The 23,286-nt window shown below is 41.1% G+C and overlaps 1 protein-coding gene across 1 annotated transcript in view, besides 5 other annotated features; it reads left to right on the top strand.

Moving 5' to 3' along the window:
* Positions 13,067–13,708: an enhancer, noted in NCBI's record as "NANOG-H3K27ac hESC enhancer chr4:141677880-141678521 (GRCh37/hg19 assembly coordinates)". NCBI's record gives its function as "activates a minimal SCP1, AML or CMV promoter by ChIP-STARR-seq in naive H9 embryonic stem cells {active_cell/tissue: H9 hESC(naive)}" and the evidence as "EXISTENCE:reporter gene assay evidence [ECO:0000049][PMID:30033119]".
* Positions 13,527–13,576: an enhancer, noted in NCBI's record as "active region_21937". NCBI's record gives its function as "activates an Ori minimal core promoter by ATAC-STARR-seq in GM12878 lymphoblastoid cells {active_cell/tissue: GM12878}" and the evidence as "EXISTENCE:reporter gene assay evidence [ECO:0000049][PMID:35858748]".
* Positions 13,709–14,351: an enhancer, noted in NCBI's record as "H3K27ac hESC enhancer chr4:141677237-141677879 (GRCh37/hg19 assembly coordinates)". NCBI's record gives its function as "activates a minimal SCP1, AML or CMV promoter by ChIP-STARR-seq in naive H9 embryonic stem cells {active_cell/tissue: H9 hESC(naive)}" and the evidence as "EXISTENCE:reporter gene assay evidence [ECO:0000049][PMID:30033119]".
* Positions 13,709–14,696: a biological region, named in NCBI's record as "H3K27ac hESC enhancer GRCh37_chr4:141677237-141677879".
* Positions 14,007–14,696: a silencer, noted in NCBI's record as "silent region_15712". NCBI's record gives its function as "represses an Ori minimal core promoter by ATAC-STARR-seq in GM12878 lymphoblastoid cells {active_cell/tissue: GM12878}" and the evidence as "EXISTENCE:reporter gene assay evidence [ECO:0000049][PMID:35858748]".
* TBC1D9 (TBC1 domain family member 9) overlaps positions 14,049–23,286 on the top strand; it is a 135,604-nt gene continuing 126,366 nt past the window's right edge. Inside the window, exon 1 of the mRNA NM_015130.3 lies at positions 14,049–14,518. Within this exon, the coding sequence (NP_055945.2) occupies positions 14,389–14,518 (130 nt within the window). The 5' untranslated portion in view covers positions 14,049–14,388. The remainder of the gene's footprint in view (positions 14,519–23,286) is intronic.

Here is a 23,286-nt window from a genome sequence, read left to right as displayed (position 1 = left end):
TCTCCAACTCCTGGCCTCAAGCAAGCCTCCTACCTCAGCCTCCTGAGTAGCTGAGATTATAGGCATGAACCACCATGTCCAGCTATGAAGAGGTTCTCTTGATTGGGAGCAGGGGAAGTCTCATCAGAAAGGTGTGGAGAGAGAACTCTAGGGCTGGGTGGGGAGCTACCTGCATCTTAGTGGATCACCAGCACCAAGTGCCAAGTGGGAGCTGAGACAATCCTGGTGGAGAAAGTCTGGCTGCCATTTGAGGGACAATCCTAAAAAGTGGAAGAATATTCAGATGATGAGCAGCCAAAAAAAAACAAATGGGCACTCTGACAATCATGTACAGTACCCCCCTTGACAATGAAGGAAAATCAATTCCTCTAGCAGTACCATGGCTGACAAAGCCATATTTGACAAGATAAAGCTATCACAGCAAGTAAATTAGGAGGAAAACATTTAAAATGGCATTGCAGGCCGGGCGCAGTGGCTCATGCCTGTAATCCTGGCACTTTGGGAGGCCGAGGCGGGCAGATCACCTGAGGTCGGAAGTTTGAAACCAGCCTGACCAACATGGAGAAACCCTGTCTCTACTAAAATACAAAAAAATTAGCTGGGAGTGGTAGCGCATGACTGTAATCCCAGCTACTCGGGAGGCTGAGGCAGGAGAATCGCTTGAACCTGGGAGGTGGAGGTTGTGGTGAGCCGAGATCACGCCACTGCACTCCAGCCTGGGCAATAAGAGTGAAACTCTGTCTCAAAAAATATATATATAAAGAAATAAATAAAATGGCATTACATACCTATTTTTAACTGTACAAAGGAGTTCTAGAGGACCTCAGTTTTTCAAATATGTTGGATTCATGAAAACATTATGAAGCAGTTATTCTAGTAGGTGACACTTCTGCTGTTTACAAAACGTTGTTTGTGTTGGCAGTTGCTGAGTAGAGTTTACCACAGATTTTAGAAAGGAACTGTGCACCTCTTTTGAAGGGGGAAATTTAGAATCATTTGCATTGTCCTCTACTTCAAGTTTGAGCAAGACACTGGGGTAATCACTGACCTTTCCACACACGGTTATGATTCATCTCAGGGCCTGGTCTACAAATACATAAGCAAGTGGTGCATAAACAGACCTCCCTCCGCCTGACCCCCTGGACCTGTTCAGGAGCTCTAGGAGAAAGGCTGCATAATTGCAGTCCTGATCTTTAGTTTAATTCAGTCTACATAAAGAGCATCAAAGATGTCCTTGGAATACAGATGGAAAGTCATGTTATCTCAGAACAGCACTTAGCCCAGGAATAAAGGATGTCTTCTTGTCCATATATGTTAATATGCACAGATTGATATGTGGAAGGTCAGTTGTTAGTTCTAAGTGGTGATATTTTGAGGAATTTTGCTTTCTCTTATGCTTTTCTATTTTGCTCATTTTACTAATAAACATAATTTTTATAATCAGAAAACAAACTATTTTAATCTTGGAAAATTGTATATGTCATACATTGAAATTACTAAAATGCAATAAAAATGCAGTCATATTATCATGTTCCACCCAAAAAAAACAGTGACAGATATTTTCATGAAACATATTAGATGAGTCTGTAGAGAACCAGGTGCTGTCTTATTTGTTGGGGGAAATAATTGGTTACATTCTTTCTGGAGCAATGTATATCAATAACATTAAAAGGCATATTCTAGATGGCCTGGAAATTCCACTTTTAGGAGTCTATACTAAGAAAATAATTAGATATGCCAGATGCAGTGGCTCACCTCTGTAATCCCAGCCCTTTTGGAGGCCAAGGAAGGAGGACTGCTTGAGGTCAGGACTTCAAGACCAGCCTGGGCAACAGAGCAAGACCCTGACAATATAAAAAAATACAAAAAAATTAGCTGGGCGTGGTGGTAGATGCCTGTAGTCCCAGTTACTCAGAGAGCTGAGGTGGGAGAATCACTTGAGCCCAGGAGTTTGAGACTGCAGTGTGCTGTGTTCATATCACTGCATTCCAGCCTGGGGCAACAGAGAGAGATCCTGTCTCAAAAAAAAAAAAAAAGAAAGAAAGAAGAAAAGAAAATAATTAGATAAATATACAAAGACATACAGTTAAATATGTTTATCATAGATTTGTTTGTAACATCTTAAAGATGCAAATAATTGTGGCAGATAAATGAAGGTACATCATATAATTAAAAAATTCACAGCCAATGTAAGTAATGATATGAATGTACATTTTTTAAAAATCTGAAAATATGTTCACAATATTGTTATGTAATAAAAGCAATTACAAAAGTTTTGTAGGTTTGTTTTATTTTGAGATAGGATCTTATTCTGTCACCTGGACTAAAGTGCACTGGTGCAATCATAGCTCACTGCAGCTTTGAACTCCTGGGCTCAAGTGATCCTCCCGCCTCAGCCCTCATAATTAGGACTAAAGGTACATGAGACCACACCCAACTAATTTATTTTTATTTTTTGTAGAGACAGTGTCTTGCTGTGTTGTCCAGGCTATGTTACAAAAGTTTAGGCATAGCATGAACTCTTTTCTGTTTGAGAATAAAAACACTACATACATATAGATTTGGCATCTTTCCATTTTGCTTATCTGTATTTTCTAATTTTTCTACAGTGAACATTATTTACTTGTATAATTAAAAATAAAACATCAGGAGAATTAATTGGAGATGTTTAAATTTGTAAAATAGTTCATGTGCTCCCCTTACACAACACACACACACACACACACACACACACTTTTATATACAGGTGGTTACTTGTTCCTGGTTCTAAGAAAGACTGTATATCATCTGGCACCAGCTTCAAGGGGTTCCACTGCAGACTTAAGCATAGCTACATAGGGTTGATTAAATAAAATGTAGTCTTTTCATTTTTATCTTTCTGTTTTTATTCAAGTATGATTATTTTTCTCTTTTTACTCAAGTATGATTAAAATGTAATCTTTATTACAGCACTGTTTTATTTAACCACCAGTCAGCTATCTTTAACTAGAATTCTGTGATCTTCTATTAGCACATCTAAAAAGATTTTCTCATTTCTTTCAAAAGGCTTCTTACTTGACACTTCATATTTAAATCTGAGGGCCACAGTTTGTAGAGAAGGATAAAGTCAGTAGGCATTTATTTTTGTTTTCATTATATGCCTTCCTCTTCAGTGTCCTTTAGGTGAATGATGGTTGGCTCCGTGTAAGAGAAGAGGGAGGAAATGATGTTTTAAAAATTTTCATTCAGGGACAGAATGTCAAGCTTCCAATTTGATTGACTGAGTCATGCCCACTAAAAGCAAACTGTAATTTTCATTGGAATAGAAATCAGTGTGATTTAACACACTTCCTTTTTATGGAAGATTACATTTCACAGCCTATAAGGGGATTGCAAGTGACAAAAAGAGCAAAATTCTCACCAGTACAACTTTATGATGAAAATGTCAATTTAGGTCTGTATTTTATAGAAGTAAACGACATCACTGAGGGCAAAGATTCTGCAAAAGAAAACTCAGCAGTAAATGCTCTGCAAAAGAAAACTCAGCAGTAAATGCTCTGCAAAAGAAAACTCAGCAGTAAATGCCTAAAGAGAGGGTGTTGAGAGCCTCAAGAATAAAAACTGAGTCCTTTTTTTTTTTTTTTTGAGATGGAGTCTCGCTCTGTCACCCAGGCTAGAGTGCAGTGGTGTAATCTCAGCTCACTGCAACCTCCTCCTCCCAGGTTCAAGCAATTCTCCTGCCTCAGCTTCCCAAGTAGCTGAGATTACAGGCATGCACCACCACACTCAGCTAATTTTTGTATTTTTAAAAGAGACAGGGTTTCACCATGTTGGCCAGGCTGGTCTTGAACTCCTTACCTCAAGTGATCTGCCCACCTTGGCCTCCCAAAGTGCTGGAATTACAGGTGTGAGCCACCGTGCCTGGCCTGAGTCCTTTTGGGGTTTTGTTTTGTTTTGACTTTTTATTAATCCTGGTAAAGATAGCCTGACAGCCAAGTCTCATGTTTAACCTTGGGAGTTTCTCCTTTGGTGCAGCGAATACTTTTTTCTCCCCTTAATGTTTTATATTTAAGGTTTTTCAAATATTTGGGATCTTCAGATCAAATTCTGTTCTATGATTTACAATCTTGTTTGGAAATTCTGAGGGGCTGGAAATAATGAGATAAGTGGTTTTATACATAGTTGATAAATTAGAAGGTTTGGGTGGTAAGGTGTTATTATGTATTGGTATTGATGCCTAGATATTCTTCTTTCTTTTAAATCATTTAGTAAAACACACCATAAAAATGTTTTAAAGAGCCAGGAGTGGTAGCTCATGCCTGTAATTCCAGTACTTTGGGAAGCTGAAGTGGGTGGATAACCTGAGGTCAGCAGTTCAAGACCAGCCTGGCCAACATGGTGAAACCCTGTCTCTACTAAAAATACAAAAATTAGCTCGGTGTGGTGGTGCATGCCTGTAATCCCAGCTGCTTGGGAGCCTGAGGCAGCAGAATCAGTTGAACCTGGGAGATGGAAGTTGCAGTGAGCCAAGATCACGCCACTGCACTCCAGCCAGGGTGACAGAGTGAGACTCCGTCTCAAAAGAAAAAAATGTTTTAAAGATTTGAGATTTATAAGATAAAATGTAGTATTTCTCTAATGAGAATGTTGTCAGTATAATAAAAATTATTACACTGTGTGATATTCTGTATATTATACTGCATACAGTATATCTAAAAATACACCACATTAAATAGCTTTTGTCTTTTTTTTTTTTTTTTCCCAGACTACAGTGCAGTGGCACTATCATGGCTTGCTGCAGCCTCAACCTTCTGGGCTCAAAGATCCTCCCACCTCAGCCCCACAGGTAGCTGGAACGACAGGCATGTGCCACCATGCCAGACTAAATTTTTCATTTTTTGCATAGACAGGGTCTCACTATATTGCCCAGGGTGGTATAAGAGCTTTAGTCTTTATTGACATGGTTGACTGGCTTGTGTTAAACAAGAAATACTTCAGACATTTTTCAACTATTATAGCATTTGAAGGCAAAGTGATGGGACACTTTTCGTGAGAATTTGTGAAGTACCAGTTGCACAAAATATGCATACTTACATAGATGCTATGTCTTGTTGATCTGACCAAATTGTTACCAGATGGAAAGTCTTGACTGTGAGTTGTCCAGGTTCTTGGCAAGTTGAAAAAAGAAATAAACAAAACTCACAAACAAAGCAACAAACGAAGCAACTAAAGCACAGATTTAGCGAAGCAAAATTACACTCCACAGAGTGGGAGTGGGCTCGAGCAAGCAGCCCAAGATGCCTGATTACAATGTTCTTTAGGGTTTTTATTAAGCTAAAAGAATTTGGTAACACCCCCAGGTGCTCTTTAGAGGCCTCCAATTGGTTACACCCTATGAAGGATTGGCCCACAACCAATCAGAGGCTGAAATAGAGACTTGGCCCGCAATCAATCAGAGGATGAAGTGGAGACTTGGTCCGTGGTCAATCAGAGGCTAAAGTGGAAATTCCTGTCTTGTTATCACAGGCGTGAGAATGTGGCCTGTATACTGCCCTATCTTGCCTAGAACTGGTTGCACCTGCTGTTCTTTTGCTTCTATCTTAACCCTTGGTTACCCTATTTCCCTATTCTTCTGCCTCAAGATGACAGCCAGTCGTAAGCAATACAACAACCTTGATCTTGGACAAAAAGATAAGCTGAACCAACTGATGTTCCTCATGAATTGTAGCTAAGAAATACCTACCTAAAGTATTCAGAAAATAGCCAAGAAATGTTTCTTCTTTCCTTGAGAAAACTGAATGGTGGGAGCTATAGCTTGAAAGTAACAGAGAGATGGAACCAGAGAGGCTATGATGGTTCATGTGTATGCTTAAATTACAAGGGGTCAGATACTATTGTTAGCAAAGAGGCTGATCAGTGGAGAAAGACACTAGACCAAATGTACAGAGAGAAGCAGAGATTCAGAGAAGGGTTTGGGTAAAGAGAAAAGCACTGGGCCAGAGCCCTTTTTTTTTTTTTTTCCAGACAGGGCCTCCCTCTGTCATCCAGGCTGGAGTGCAGTGGCACAATCACAGCTCACTGCAGCCTCAAACTCCTGGGATCAAACAATCCTCCATCTCAGCCTCCCAAGTAGCTGAAACTACAGGCATGTGCCACCATGCCTGGCTAATTTTAAAATTTTTTGTAGAGACAGGGTCTTGCTATGTTGCCCAGAATGGTCTTGAACCCGTGGCCTCGAACCCCTGGCCTCAAGCAATTCTCTCACCTTGGCCTTTCAAAGTGCTAAGATGACAGGTGTAAGCCACTGCACCTGTCCTGATCTGAGAGCTTGCTAAAGGTCTCTGGTACTAGTTTAGTCTATCTGAACCTTTGCAATAATTTCTTTTCTTTAAATATGAAAAAAGAAATTAAGTAACTCAAATGACTTCTGACCATAATTATCAAGAGTCAAACCACTAGGTTTGTTAGCAGAAAACAAAACATGTTATATTCATGCAATATCAAATTACTTTCAAGAAGATACAGTCACCAAAAAACAAGTTGTCAATAGTAGGTTGTATAATAGACCTCTGTCACATAGGCTTGCCCACGACCCTGTCTCCTTATTCTCATAGTTCTCTGATTTTTTCCTTGGGGACTATTCCCCACACACTGTCCCCTCTCCTCTGCCACCACCTACACCAGGGAAGGCATGTGGCTTAGATCTGGCCAATCAGTGGATAGGTCTCAACATCCAGACCACAGTGATAGGTAATGGCATGAAAGCATTATATAAATATAAACTTAATTATTGAGGAAAAAAATGTGACAAATAATGTGTAAAGAAACAGGAAAAAGTTGCAATTTGTATTCAGGTTCTTCATAGTCTTCTAAATAAGACCAATTTCCAACTTTGCTATTAATTATCCAAGTGACCCTAGTCAAGTCTCTTCCTTATTCTGGGCTTTCATTCCTTTTATATAAAATGAGGAGCTCAATATAACTATGTTCAGCGTCTCCTAGGGCCTTTTTCTTCTAAATCTGTAAACATAAGTTTAGAAATTCAGTAGTCCTGTGCACACCAAAAGAACACCAACAAAGAGGGTCCTGGCCCTCAGGGAACTTGCAGTAGATAATTTTGAAGTAGGAAAAGTGTTTCACCACCCTGCCCTTTGTTCTAAAGTCTCTACCTTATTTATCATTCTTTCCCAATCATTAAAACTTGCCCTTAGGTTTGACTCTTTCATGAAAGGACAAAACAAAAAAAAACACAAAAACTTGCCCTGTTTGATGACAAATAGTCAGTCTGAAAATAAATCTCTGCTAATGTTTAGCTTTATTCTTCCCTCAGAGAGGCTAGGGTCTTCTTTCCTTCCTTCGTTCCAGGAACACAGATACATTTGACAGAGGTCATTGACCACAATGTTCCCAACATAGAAAGAAATAATGTTTTGGCTGGGTGCAATGGCTCTTGCCTGTAATCTCAGCACTTTGAGAGGCTGAGGCAGGAAGATTGCTTGAGCCCATGAGTTCAAGACCAGCCTGGACAACATGGGGAGACCCCATCTCTACAAAAAAATTTAAAAAATTAGCTGGATGTGATGGCACACACTTGTAGTCCCAGCTACTCAGGTGGCTGAGGTGGGAGAATTGCTTGAACCCAGGAGGTTAAGGCTACAGTGAGCCATGTTTGCACCATTGCACTCCAGCTTTGGCAACAGAGCAAGATCCTGTGGAAGGAAGGAAGGAAGGAAGAAAGGAAGGAAGGAAGGGAGGGAGGGAGGGAGGGAGGGAGGGAGGGAGGGAGGAAAGAAGACAGGGAGGGAGGGAGGGAGTTTCATTTATTCTTTATTTCCAGAGCATCTCAGAATGTAATAAAAAGTGTAATGATTTAATGAAGGGATGCAAGGTAGCACTGTTACAGTAAGAACTATTTTGAGGAATCTTTTCCCTTCAATCATACTAGAAGGATGGTCCTGGCTGCAGAACTGTTCATTCATTTAAAGCTAAAATAACCTAACTGTGGCTTCTGTATCAATTATCTCTATTACTTGCAGAGTTGACAATGCGGTGACTGGTTGATCTAGTTTCTCCAGCTGGTTTAGCAACTCAGATCCACTGTGAAGTTCTCTGTATTGTGATAGTTAATTTTAGGTAGCGACTTGACTGAATTAAGGAATACCAAGAGAGCCAGGAAAGCATTAATTTTAAGTGCATGTGTGAGGGTGTTTCCAGAAGAGATTAGCGTGTGAGTCTGAGTGAACTAGGAGGAAGGATTTGCTCTCATTGTGGAGGAGAACACCATTCAATTGGCTGAGGACCTAGAGAGAACTAAAACAGAGAAAAGGTGAATGTGGATCTCATATACAGATCTTCTTTTCCTGTTCTTGGACATTTTGCTGACCACATATTCTTCTTCTCTATCCTTGGACATCAGAACTCCAGGCTGATTCTTCTAAAAATCCTCTCTCATAGTATATAGCATATTGGTTATGTCTCTTTAAAGAATCTTGACTAATACAGATTTCAAAGCAACTGCAAAGTACTGGATCTTCAAAGCAATATTACTCTTTCCTATCCCAACTGGTCATCCTTCTTCTACCTCAGTGGGTATAAGAAATTCCAAATAGCCTACTAGAGCTACTGCCCTTCCAGGTTGGATATCAAAGATAGGGGAATTAATTTTTTTTAAAAAAAGCTCTTGTTAAAATGTTATCTTCAGACAGGAGGCCTAGTGGAGTTCTTCCAAGGAAACATTAGCACTTTATTGTTCTGCTGGGTGAATTCTCTGCTGAAACTGAAACTGAATTTTCTACTAGTTGACCACTCCTGGGACTGCCGGGCAGTGCAATGTTTTTTGTTGTTGTTGTTTGTTTGTTTTGAGACAGTCTCTGTTGCCCAGGCTGGAGTGCAGTAGTGCAATCTTGGCTCACAGTAACCTTCGCCTCCTGAGTTCAAGCGATTCTCCTGCCTCAGCCTCCCAAGTAGCTGAGATTACAGGCATGTGCCACCATGCCCAGCTAATTTTTGTATTTTTAGTAGAGACGGGGTTTCACCATGTTGGCCAGGCTGGTCTTGAACTCCTGACCTCAAGTGATCCACTCACCTCGGCCTCCCAAAGTGCTGGGATTACAGGCGTGAGCCACCGTGCCCGACCTGGAATGGTTATTAACACCCGTGTTCTGCAGCCTTTGTCCCGTTGCTTCTGGGAGAACTGAGCCATGAAGGAGCAGACACCGCAGTTGGGAGGCAGGATGTGTGGGCACAGTGCTTCCGAGACTCCATGCTATTTCCAAAGTGGGGCAAGTCCCAAGAAGACCAAGCAGAGGACTGAGTGGGAGAGGAGTGAGGATAAGGAGGAAAACACACCACTGTGAAGGTGAAAAAGCAGAAAAGGAGGGCATACTGCAGAAATGGGGGTGGACATTGCCAAAGACTAACTAACTACACTTGGAATTTTGCCTCAGTCAGATCTGCCCACTAAGCAATACACGGATTAACTGCTTGAAGGTCAAGCAGTCAGAACCCTATCAGGGTCAGCCGGGCGCGGTGGCTCACACCTATAATCCTAGCACTTTGGGAGGTGAGGGCGGGCAGATCACCTGAGGTCAGGAGTTCGAGACCAGCCTGGCCAACATGGTAAAAGCCCGTTTCTACTAAAAGTACAAAAGTTAGCTGGGCATGGTGGCTCACGCCTGTAATCCCAGCTACTTGGGAGGCTGAGGCGGGAGAATCACTTGAACCCAGGAGGCAGAGGTTGCAGTGAGCCAAGATGGCGGCACTGCACTCCAGGCTAGGTGACAGAGAGAGACTCCGTCTCAAAAAAAAAAAAAAAAAAAAAAAATAGGAACCCTATTAGGGTTGGAGGAGAGAGTGAGAGATCTGAGGGACAGAAAGACACGGCTGGGTGCGGTGGCTCACGCCTGTAATCCCAGAATTTTGGGAGACCGAAGCGTGTGGATCACGAGGTCAGGAGTTCAAGACCAGCCTGGCCAAGATAGTGAAACCCCGTCTCTACTAAAAAAATACAAAAATTAGTCGGGCGCAGTGGCGGGCACCTATAATCCCAGCTACTGGGAAGGCTGAGGTAGGAGAATTGCTTGAACCTGGGAGGTGGAGGTTGCAGTGAGCCAAGATTGTGCCACTGTACTCTAGACTGGGTGACAGAGCAAGACTCTGTCAAAAGAAAGAAAGAAAGAAGGAAGGAAGGAAGGAATGAAGGAAGGAAGGAAGGAAAGAGAGAAGTGAGGGAGGGAGGGACAGAGGGCAGGAAGGAAGGAAGGAAGGCAGGCAGGCAGGCAGACAAAGACATCATCTACCTCTACCTTATCTAGGCATCTGTTGAATGCTTTTCCTCTTCAGGTGGTCTGAGACTATCCTAGGGCTTAAAACCAGTGAGAATAAATTGAAAGCTAAAAATAGTCATGTATTTCACAGAGGAACTAGTTAGATTAATTAGGTTCTCCTTATGTCATTTCTTGTCTAGGTATATTTGATTGTCTTTTTTTTTTTTTTCAAAGTCACATTTAATTGAGTAGGTAGCACTATGGGACTGGAAAGCCACCAAAACTCCTTATAGTTTCTCTAGTTTTTTGCAATGTCCTTTTACTACAGGTTATCACAAGTCATGATAATAATGGCATGATTTCCTGGAGAGAATGTGCTCTAAATCTTCCAAGAAACTAGAAAATGGCTAAGGATTTTAAAATGTTTCTTCTTTCCTCTTGGTGTCCAATCTTGTTCTCAAAGCAAATTTTTATAAGCTTGTTTTGGTTACATTTTAATCTTCACAAAAGCAGGGACTTTGTATGTTTTGTTCACTTTTTTTCACTCTGTCATCCAGGCTGGAGTGCAGTGGCGTGATCTCAGCTCCTTGCAACCTCCGTCTCCCGTGTTCTAGCAATTCTCCTGCCTCAGCCTCCAGAGTAGCTGAGACTACAGGTGCATGGTGCCACGTTTGGCTAATTTTTTGCATTTTAGTAGAGACGGGGTTTCACCTTGTTGTCCAGGCTGGTCTCGAACTCCTGAGCTCAGGCAATCCACCTGCCTCGGTCTCCGAAAGTGCTAGGATTACAGGCTTGAGCCACCACGCCTGGCCTTGTTCACTTTTTATTCCAAGGCCTAGAGTATAGTAGGCATTCAATAATTATATGTTGAATAAGTGAATGAATGAATGAATGAATGAATAAATTGTATAAGTAAATAGCACTTGGTACCAGTATATAAAAAAGGCCAAAGTAACTTACATTTTGGGGCTAGGGTATAGGTTTTGGTGTGAAACCACAACCTTAAGCAGCATGCCAAGGGCAAGCCAAAAGATTGTTGTAGGCCGGGCATGGTGGCTTCTGGCACTTTGGGAGGCCCCAAGGCGGGCGGATCACTTGAGGTCAGGAGTTCAAGACCAGCCTGGCCAACGTGGTGAAACCCCGTCTCTCCTAAAAATACAACAATTAGCTGGGCGTCGTGGCTCACACCTGTAGTCCCAGCTACTCAGGAGGCTGAGGTGGGAGAATCACTTGAACTGGGAGGTGAAGGTTACAGTGAGCTGAGATCGTGCCACTGCACTCCAGCCTAGGTGACAGAGCGAGACTTTGTCTCAAACAAAACAAAAACAAAAGATTGTTGTAGGGGAAAAGGTGTGATATCTTTCCTTCCCATAAGGGTCATAGCCAACACACCTATAACAAAAGACAGGCTAACAAGAGAAAAGCACAACACATTTGTTTAATCAAAGTTTTAGGTGACATGGGAACCTTCAGAAATGAAGACGGAAAAACCCAGGGAAACCTGTCTATTTTTTTTTAATAGAGATGGGGTCTCTCTGGTTTAATACAGATGGGGTCCTCCTGGCTCTGCCTACCAAAATGCTGGGGTTGCAGGCATGAGCCACCATGCCCAGCCTGTTTATTTTTTTGAGAGAGTCTCGCTCTGTCCATTTTTGTGCTTAGGTTCAATGAAGAGTGGGCAGCCATGTAGATGTGGTTGGACAAAAGGGTAAGATCCAATGGTAATAGACTGAGAACAGACCCAGTCTGTCTGTTCAGATTCTTCTTGGCCTCTCCGTATAGCTTTCCCTCCTCCTGGGTTTAGAGCAGGACTCCTTTGGAAAGGGGACCTACTATCCAACAAGGTAGGGTAGATAATTTCTTTATTTCTCTATTCTTTATGTCTGCTCTTACACAGAAGAGTGAGGAATGGTAATATTTCTAGGTTTTGTAGCTTCCTTTGGGAAGAGGGGTTTTAGTTTCTATGACCTGCCTTTAGTTTCCATGACTCACTTTGGGGGAGAAAGAGAGGTGGGAGACAGGAGGGCAGAAGGAGGTCAGAGAGAAACTGCTTCTGAGGCCTTTCAATCTCCTTTAGTTCAAAGTACTCAGCATGCCAAAGCACCATGCTTTGTGGTATCATTTTCCAAACCCCAACATGGTATTAAGGCACTTAGAGTTTTTAAAAATACCAATTATATCAAGTAAAAGAATACCTATGGAAACACTTCAAAAATATAAAAGTTACATGATATATTAATATAATTTTTGCATATGTATGACTTATAATCTTATTGTTTGCTTTTTATTTGCAGATTTTGTGACTGAAGGCACTGCACTGTGACCAAAAGTGCCAAATGAGTTTTTTGAGTCTGTGTTAAATACATGAGGTTTCCACTGATGCCTGGAAGAAGCAGATCAGTCTGTGTGGTAACATCAAGGGAAACTTCCATTCCTTGAGAGCCCAAGCGGTAGGAAGCGAACAGATGAAATGGCAGTCTCATTAGAATGGCTGGTGATTTGCTCATTCGACTAATTGAAGGAATTCAACAATTCAAGTCGGAGCTACAAAAGTCACAATTTTGAAGCCCACACAAGAAGGTTTCATTTGAATCTCTGCTCATTTGGAAAGGGAAAAGTCCCTAGGATTGCCCAGCATCCACAACAAAGCAGAGTCTGCTAAATTCCCATCATTTGGGAAGAGGAACTTTTTTTTTTTTTTTTTTTTTTTTTTTTTTGGCTGAACTATCCTCCAGATCTCCTGGGCGGGAGGAAAAAAAAATGGTCATCAGATATGTAGGCAGATGGGCTGTGATCACCACTGGAAGCTCGAAGTATTTGGGGAAACTGAAACTGTCTAGGGATAAAGCTGCCCTGGTTTGTGTGTTTCTGGTTTCACTGATTAAAAAAAAAATCCATCTACCAAGAGTGGATAAATTTTAAAATTCTGCCATGCCCAGTTTTCGAAGCCCCAAATGCGATATAGGAACAGCTGTGGTGTGAATTAGTTGGTCTAAGCTTTTGGGCCGCTTCCAACTTCTCTATTGCTCACGCCCTACAGGTCAAGGAAAGAAGTGATGTAATGCACTTAGCTAGGCCACTTTAATTACAATGGAATGGAGAGGGGGGAGGGGTCACAAGCGGTGACAAGTTTAGCGCATGACTTGCCCTGGGGATGCAGGAAACAAAAACATCGACGACCATTGGCTGCGTTGGCTTCCGACCCCGGGTCTCTAACCGAGCTCCAGGTCTGGAACCTTGAAACACTTTTCCTGGGAAAAGGGGTGGCGCTATCCCATAGAGCGTCAACCTTAAACACAAACAGCACACACGCACCCACGCAGGCTGGCGGCGTCCTCCCTGCTGGGATGGGCGTCGGGCCCAGTGCTTGGCACACGGTCCCCAGGAGCTTCCCCCGAAGGTTCCCCCGAAGCCAGCCACAGCTGCTCAGCTCGGCGCGCGGAGCCCGCGGTGGTACCGAGTCCGCACAAACCCGGACCCGCTCCAAGTGAGCCGCGTTGTCGTCATTCATTCGCAGTGTCCGGAGCGTCCTTCCAGCGGGGAGCTGGGCTTCCCTAGTGGCGCCTGCGGCCCCGACACGGCGCGTTAAGGCGCGGCGACTTCGGGAGCTCGAGCAGGTAGAGACGGGAGGGGCTCTGGAGCTCCAGTCGGCGCCGCGGGAGCAGCAGCGCCGGAGCCCAGCTTGGCCCTGACCGCGGGGCCGAATCCGCTCGGGTGGCCCTTAGCCCTGCCTGGCGCTGAGCCGGATCCCGGGACTGAGCTATACCACTTCCTCCTCCTCCCGCTCCCTTCCTCCTCCTCTTCCTCCTCCTCCCGCTCCTCCCGCCGCCGTGGGCCGGGAGCCGGGCTGCAGAGTGCCAGGCCGGGCGTCTGCGGCCGCGGGCTCTCGCGGGGCGGCGACGCCGCGGGGAGGATGCTGCTTGCCGCGCCCGCGTCCTCACCGTCCTCCCGGGCCGCCTGCTGGGGCTTTGTTGTGGCCCGGACGCCGCGGGCCACCCCCTGAAGTCGCCTGCCGCCGCCGCCGCCGCACCTAGCGGACGGGCGGGCGGGCGCGCGTGTGCCCAGGAGTGCGCGCCTGTCGCGGTGGTGGGTGCAGGACTGGACCCACGGGCCCATTGTGCGCCCGCCCGCGGCAGCCAGGACCATGTGGGTGAACCCGGAGGAGGTGTTGCTGGCCAACGCGCTGTGGATCACCGAGAGGGCCAACCCATACTTCATCCTGCAGCGGAGGAAGGGCCACGCCGGCGATGGAGGCGGCGGCGGCGGACTGGCGGGTAAGGACCGTGGCCGATCCCTGCAGGAGGGGAGCCGGGAGCGCTGCGGCGCCGCCCGCGGCCTGGGCTGCAGGCTCGGGAGACGCCGCCCGGTCCCCTGGGGCTGGGCGACCCGCCCTGCCTCGTTGTATGCGAGGCATCGAGAGTCGTGATGTTCAGGTTGGGCAGAGATGCTTCTTTTTTTGACTCTGTCAGGCTTGGGGCCCTCAGCGTACTGAGCGCTCTTTAAGTGGATATGTTGAGGAGAATGGGAAAGAGTGAGTCTGGGGCGGAGGGAATGTATTATCCCCTATATATTGAATGCATCATTCCCTTCCCCTCCCCCCCTTAAAAATATTGTTTTCCAAATGGAAAAGAGGGATGGAAGAAGGTTAATTTTTGCTCCACTTTCTTTACTGGCAACAGCAGGATCAGGTATAAAATGCTCTTTTGTTTCCAGGGAAGCGATAAGTAAGGAACTGATGTGGTCATTTCCTATATGAGTTATGACCGAAGAGAATGAATACGGAAACAGGAATTTTTTTGTTTCACCTAATTAGACATAAAGCAAAGCAAATTGTCTGGTTCTAGTTGTAAAAATAATTGGCTGTATAACTGCATTTTAACTATTTTTGCTCAATCACTTCTTCCCTAAACCCCCTCCCTTCAAGGTATTATTGTAATTGTTGCTGAAGCCATGTCATATCATTCAGGATAATAAGATCAGTCAGACCCATATCCAAAGTAGTGCCATATTAGAAATAATCTCGAACTCATACCATACTAGAGAAATTGGACCTTCTCCATCTCTGTGTTATTTAGAATGAACAGAACTGGAATACTTTTTACAGTGAAAAAGTTAGCAGAAGAAATAGTAGAGGTTTCACTAGAAAGGAGACTGCAAAAAAGAGATGAACTTTGACCCTCCTCAGAGTTGAGCTTATATCAACCTCATATATCACCTGGAGTTTGCACAATAGGTAAATTGTTGCTTTCAAATGCTGTGCTATGAAATAAAGATTCTTGATATATGTATTTACTTATGATTATATTTATAAACTAATTTTCTTAAGATTAAAATTCAGGTGTCATGTGGTACAATGTATACTGGTATGTTTGAAGGATCTTGATTCTACCAGAAAAGATAAATCTGCAGAGCTCCAGACCCCATTCTGGAAATACTTACTAGTGATCTGATACCAGGATTTTCCAGGTCATTTTGTAGAAGTTATCTAACTCTAAATGTTAATATGTAATTTACATATCTAATATTGGAATCAGCCCACATTGTCCTTTTTTTTTTTTTTTTTTTTTTTTTTTTTGAGACAGAGTCCTGCTTTGTCGCCCAGGCTGGAGTGCAGTGGCGTGATCTCGGCTCACTGCAACCTCCTTCTCCTGGGTTCAAGTGATTCTCCTGCCTCAGCCTCCTGAGTAGCTGGGACTACAGGCATGCACCAACCCGCCCGGCTAATTTTTTTTGTATTTTTAATAGATGGGGTTTCACCATGTTGGCCAGGCTGGTCTTGAACTCCTGATCTCAAATAATCCGCCCACTTTGGCCTCCCGAAGTGCTGGGATTAAAGGCGTGAGCCACCTCACCCGGCCCATGTAGTCCTTTAAGCCTAGGACAACAACACAGAGTAGATAATTTATTGTAGTAAAAAGAGAACATTTCCTTCTGCAATTAACCCTCCTACACCTTGTAAGCATTAAGTATTCATTTACCTGTGTCATTTGTAATAGGATGTGAAAAATTCAGGGATTCAGAGCCTTCTTTTTCTGCTTAACATTTGTATTGTGTTCCTACTGGTTCTTAGAGCTATAACTGACTACGGTCCACTTGAAATCTCATCTTGTCATCAATGACTTCTTTCACTTAGGTAAAATTACATCTTGTAAATTGAGAAATCACAGTGATTGCACTTATTAATGGAATAATTGAAATCATTGTCATGAGTAAAAGTATTTATGACAACAAAGGCTATTTTCAAGCAAGAGAGGTAAAATGTTTGGTCTAATACCTTGGTGCCATGTCAAATGTAGCAGGAACATTTTAGAAATGTTACACAATGTGTAGTATATTCTGATTCTAATGTAAGTTCATTCATTCACTAACTCACTAAATCATTTAACAAATATTTGTTGGCAACTTCTAGAAGTGCTAATGTTGTGAAGCTCAAGCCTAGTAGAAGACAGGTATTGATGAAATAATCACATAAATTAAAGTAAAATTGCCACTCTACAGAGTCCCAGCAGAAAACAGAATCCAAATGAAGAGAGATGAGTGAAAAGACAACTTCGAAAAATAGAGGCATGGTTATTTGAACTGGTGTAAGGCAAACCAGAGGCAGGACTCTCAGGAGTCCGTGAGAGCTGGAGCCAGGGAAGAGGAACTTGAGCCTGGAGAGAAGCAGCTACTTGTAAAAACATAGACAATAGCAGAAAGGGAGTGGGGAGTACATGCCCTGACTTCTCTCTTCTCCCACCCTCCCAGCTTCTGCCACTGCCTCCCATCCCTGGAACCCAATAGAAGCCAGCTAAGGAACTGGGCATGGTGGTGTATGCCTGTAGTCCCAGCTGCTGGGGAGGCTGAGGCTGGAGGATGGTTTGAGCCTAGGCATTCAAATCCGGACTGGGCAACATGGTGAGACCTTATCGCTAGAAAAGGAAAAAAAAAAAAGAATCTAGCTGGAAAGAGTCCTGGTAATGTAGTTTCTTGGGATCAGCCTCCCAGGAATGGATGGGGGCAAACTGAGAATGATCAGAACAAATATCATAAGAAGAGGAACATGATGTTGGTTAGTCCCAGTTAAGTGATGGGGTCTTGGAGGTGGAGGCAAAGGAAAGATTCCTTGAGGAAGTGACGCTTGAGCTTAGAACTGAAGAAAGAAAAAGATCTGCCTGTGAGGAGAGGAGGGAAGAGTAAGTGTTAGATATCAGCTGTTGGAGATTTTCTGGAAGATCTCAGGACCTTTACATAATATGCATTATCTGGATCAGTGTACATGTGTACACCCAGCAAATAGATGACAGATGAGTAGGGAAACTTGCCCAGTGTGAACTGGCCAGAAGTGGTCTCAAAGTGTGGTCATCAGGGAGCTTGGAAAGATTAGCACAGAAAGCTATAAAAAACAGTGGGTCAAAGTTGAGGACACTTAACATTTTTTAAAAATTAAGATATTCTAGGTTCCTGATTCCAAGCAATATGTATAGGCATTGGTGCAATGAAGTCTTCCATTGTGGATGCATTTGATTGATTTATTTAACCCCCTTTGACTGAGATTTCATACATATACATAAAATTACAGAAATCAGATGCAAAGTGCAGTGATCTACTACAATGTGAACACTTGGCAACCAACACCAGGATAAAAAAAAATAGAACACCAGGATAAAAAATATAGAACACTGCTAATGTGCCAAAAGCCCCCTTGTGATTCTCAGCCAATCATTGTCACCTCCCCCAAAGATAAAGACTATCCTCATGCTTTTTTGTAAACACTTCCTTGATTTTCTTTGTAGTTTTTCCAAAGAACATATCCCTAAACACTATATTTTGGTTTTGCTTTTTTTTTTAAGCAAGAAATGAAATGGAATTATAGAGTATATATTCATTTGTGTCTGGATTCTTTTGCTCAGCCTTGTGTATGTGATATTCATTTTGTTGCTGTTGGTTGTAATTCATTCATTTTTCTGTTCTGTGTAGAAAACTATGATATGAGTATACCACAATTTATTCATCTCTTTATCAACTGTATTGTTGGTGGCCCATTGGATGGTTCATTTGGGGGCATTATGGATAATGTGGCTATGGTCATTTTGGGGCATGTTTCTTGGTGCCTGTGGGCATACGTTTCTATTTGCTCTATAAACAGGAGAGGAATTGCTAGCTCATAATGTATTATCAATTTCAGTAGATGATACCAGTTTTCCAAAGTAGTTGTACCAATATACTCCCACCAGCAGCATATGGAAGTTCCCCTTGTTCCATCACATATCCTTGTCAACACTGTCAGTCTTTGTAATTTTAGCCATTGTTGTGGTTTTGGAGTAATATCACATTGCAGGGTTAATTTGCTTTTTCCTGACTGATGAAGTTGAGCATTTTTCCATATGTTTATTAGCCATTTGGAATATTTTGAGATATGATTGTTCAAGTCTCTTGTCCATTTTTCAACCGGATTGTCTTTTTTCTTACTAACTTGTAGAAATTTAAAAAATATGTTCTGGGTATAAGCCTACTGTTACATGTGTGGCAAAATCTTCATTTGTTCCTTACCTATTTACTCTGTAAAGAATGAACAGAGATTCTTAATTTTTAAAATTCCTTAAGTCCTGTTTAGATACCATTTCCTTTTAAATACCATTTCCTTTATGGTTAATATTTTATTGTGTTCTGTTCAATAAGTCTTTTCCTGCTCTGTGGTTATAAAGACATTCTTATATATTCTAGAAATGTAACAGTTTTAACCCCCACCTTAACATGTACAGATCACTGGGAATTAATTTTTGCATATTGTGTGAAGTAGGGGTTAGGTATTGTATTTTAAACTTTTTGTGGACATTCATTTGCCCCAGAATGATTTATTGGGAAGGCTATTCTGTCTTCACTGTTCTGTAGAGCTACGTTTGTCATAAATCAAGTACCCGTATGTGTGTGGGTCTGTTTTGGGTTTTCTAGTCTATGTCTTTTGTTTATTAGCATATTCTTGCACCAACACCACACTGTAGTTTTATTTTAATTTTCTTTTAGATTCATGGGTTACATGCACAGGTTTGTTACATAGGTAATTGTGTACTGTACTTTTATCATAAGAGTTTATATGCAGTAGATCAAGTTCTATTATCTTGTTCTTTGTTTTCTACAGGTTTCTTGACTATTCTTTGAGCACAATACAGATGCTCCTCTACTTACAGTAGAGTTATGTTTCAGTAAGTTGAAAATATTGATGCATTTTTTTAACTTAAAATATCCTCAATTTACAGTGAGTTTATCCAGATGTGACCTTATTGTAAGTCAAGGAGCAAACCGAATTTGTATAGCTTCCACATCATTATGAAGTAAAAAAAAAAATTTGTAAGTCGAACCATTGTAAGTTGGGACCCATCTGTATTTTAGAATCAGCTTGCAAAGTCTCACCAAAACAAAACAACAGCAGCAACAAAGATGTTAAAGCTATTGAGATTTTGATTGACATTACATTGAGTCTGTAAATAAATTTGGGCAAAATTTTTACCTTTATAGTATCAAGTCTTCTGATCCATGAACATGGTATATTCCTTTATTTATTTAGATCTTTACAAGTTTTTCTCGGTGTTTTATAGTTTTCTGTGTAGAGGTTTTAAGCTTCATTTATTATATTTATTCCTAGGTGTTTCATATTTTTTTCACTCTGTTGTATATTATGTCTTTTTAAAATTTCATTTTCTGTTTCTTTTTTACTGGGATGTAGAAATATTGCTGTTTTATATATTCACCTGTATCCAGAATGTAGCTAACTTAAGAAATGAATTCTGGTAATTTATCTGTAAATTCTTCTTTTTATTTCCTGCATACACAACCATATCATCTGCTAATATTTACAGTTTATTTCTTTTTTAATTCTTATGCTTTTAAAAATTGTCTTTGCCTTTCTTGACAGGCTAGGACCTCATATACAATTATGAATTGATGTGGCAATTGTACATACTCTTATCCCTTCCCAGGTCTTAAAAGAAAGACTTTCAACATTTGTTCATTGTTAAGTATGGTGATTTTTGTAAAATTTTTTTTTTTTAATTTTTGTTCTCCTTGCCTGTTTTCATTTTATTTTATTTTATTTTATTTTAAGGAGTTCTTATTCCTAGTTTGCCAAGCGTTTTTGATTATATTTGGATGCTGAATTTTTAAGAAATGCTTTTCCATTTTTATCAATGTACTAGTGATTTTTCTTTTATCCTGTTAGTGTGGTAACTTATAGTAACTGATTTTCAAGTGTTTACCTGAACTTGCATTTATAAAGCAATCCTAATAATATAGCATTATAATTGTAATATATTCCTGGTGAATTGAGCATTTTATCATTATGAAATGTTCACATGTATTTCCAGAATTGCTTTTGTCTCATTCTTATGGTTAGAATAGATTTATTTGGTTAGTATTTTTATGGTATCTCTTTTTCATACTTTCACTTTCAACTCTTCTGTATCCTTATGTTTTAGATATGTCTTTTATAAATAGCAGATAGTTGATTTATTTCCTTTTTATAATGTTTAGTAATTTAATTGTTTTTTATAAATAGAGACGGGGTCTCACTATATTGGCCAGGCTGGTCTCAAACTCCTGGCCTAAACCAATTCCCCTACCTTGGCCTCTCAAAGTGCTGGAATTACAAGTGTGAGCCCCCATACCTGGGCAGTTGACTTTTTTCTTACTCAATTTTGAAAATTTTTGACTCTTAATTGTATTATTTAGTTAATGTCCATGTGACTTGGATTTAAATCTGCTCTTTTATTAAGTGCTTTATACTTTTTCTAGCTACCTTGTGTTCTTTGTATTTTGCCTTCCTTGCTTTTTGGTGGGATATGGGAATAATTCTTTTTAAGTTACACTTTTTGAGACTCTATTAGCTAGAAGTTTTATATTCATTTTATTATTCTTTTAGTGGTTATTCTGGACAATACAAATGCATTTTTGACTCATCCAATTATATTATTAACCAGTACTTTTTTTTTTTACCTTTTATTTTTTTAAAGGAAAGCCAGGGTCTCACTATGTTGCCCAGGCTGGTCTCAAACTCCTGGCTTCAAGTGATTCTCCCACCTCAGCCTCCCAAATTGCTGATATTAGAGGTGTCAGTCACTGCACCTGGCCATTATTTTTTATTTTTTAAATTGACATGTTAAATATTTTCTCATAGATTGCAAAGACCATGGAATACTTTAACTCCCCACCCCCAATTTACATACCATTTGTGTTGTAATAGTATATTTTAATTCTTAACATATTTTCAACCCAAGGACATGCAGTTATTACTATTTTTAAAGTCTGTATTCAGTTGGATCTCTACACGTTTACCATTTTTGTTTTACTTTCTTCTTCCCTCTCTGACCATTTTTCTGGAATCCGTTTTCCACTGCCAGAAAAACATCATTTACTCTTTCCTTTAGCGAGGACCTGCTTGTGACAGCTTTTCTCAGTTTTTGTTTGTCTCCAAATGTCTTTATTATGCTTTCTTTCTTGAAGGATATTTTTGTTTTGAATGGTTGGCACTTAATATGTTTTAAGCATGGTTGAGACATCGTTTCTTCTGAGGTAAACTGTCACTCTGAATTGTTGTTCTTTTGTGAGTAATATGTCTTTTTTCTCTAACTGCTTTTAAGGTTTTCTCTTTGACTTTGGTCTTCTGCAGTTTTAATATGATCTAGATAATTTGTGATGTTTAAAAATCCTGCTTAGGGGTAGTAGGTGTTCTTTAATATGTCTTTCGTTGGTTTTGTAAAATTCTCATCCACTGTCTCCAAATATGGCCTTTCCTTCATCCCCTCATCTCTCTTTCTGGCACTCCAATTACATGTATGTTAGACATCTCATTGTATCTTCTATGTCTGTTACCTTTTAAGTTTTACTTCATTTTGGCTACTTTTTTCTGATCTCTGTTCCAAGTTAATAACTATCTCCTTAACTATATTTAATCTGTTCAGCCCAACCACTTTTAATTATTTTTTTAAATTAAATATTCCTGTTTGGTTCATTGTCTAATTTTCAGTTGTTACAATTCTCAATCTTATTTTTTGTCTCTTTTGAGCAAGTATGGTTCTTGTAAGGCCTCAATTAACTTAAATATCTCGAGCTCTTTTAAGCCTGTTCTGCTGTCTGTTTTTTCTCCTAATTTTCATTCATGCTCTGATGTCATTTTTTATGTCTGGCTACTTTTGATTATGAACTGGACCTTGTACTTCTAGTTTGTGAAACTAATCTGAAGGAGAAGATAATGTTATTTTCTATGAGAAAAATTTTTTCTGCCAGTTGCAAACTAAAATCACTAATTTTTGGTACTGATATATTTTCTAGCTGAGCTCTAACTTGAGTGGATTTGCCTACTTAGGATTTACAGTTATATTAGGTCATAGCCCTCCATCGTCCCAACCCAAAGAGGAAAGGGTGGCATCATTAGCTGCCCTACCTCTTTGGTGGTACTAACTCCTATCCTGGTCCCCCCAGTCCAGGATTCTGTTAAAAGCACATCCAGACTCTCAGCTTACTCAGCAGCCCCTTATGGAAGGGGCACATGCCTCCCAAAATAATTGTTACTCTAAAATATAGAGCTCTCCCCCTTGGAGCCTGTCTTTTTTTCAGGTATGGTAACTTGTTGCTTTTTATTTTTTGATATTTTGAAATATATTTTGTCCAGTTTGTATAGTTGTCCTGATTAGTTGATATTGGTATAGATTATCTTATCTGACATTATAAGGTAGATGCTATTATTATCCTCAGTATGTAGAAAAGGAAACTAAGGCCTTAAAGAGATTGAGTGATTTACCCTAGGTCCCACACCTAATAAGTGTGAGCCTATTTGATTTTGTATTTATTATTCTTTTTTTTTTTGACAGAGTCTCTCTCTGTCATCCAGGCGGGAGTGCAGTGGCACACTCTTGGCTCACTGCAATCTCCACCTCCTGAGTTCAAGCGATTCTCCTACCTCAGCCTCCCAAGTAGCTAGGACTACAGGTGCATGCCACCATGCCTGGCTAATTTTTTTGTATTTTTTTAGTAGAGGAGGGCTTTCACCACGTTGGCCAGGCCAGTC

This window comes from Homo sapiens, chromosome 4, assembly GCF_000001405.40.
Source record: "Homo sapiens chromosome 4, GRCh38.p14 Primary Assembly".
Lineage (NCBI taxonomy): Eukaryota > Metazoa > Chordata > Mammalia > Primates > Hominidae > Homo > Homo sapiens.
This window is presented reverse-complemented; position numbering and strand designations above follow the sequence as displayed.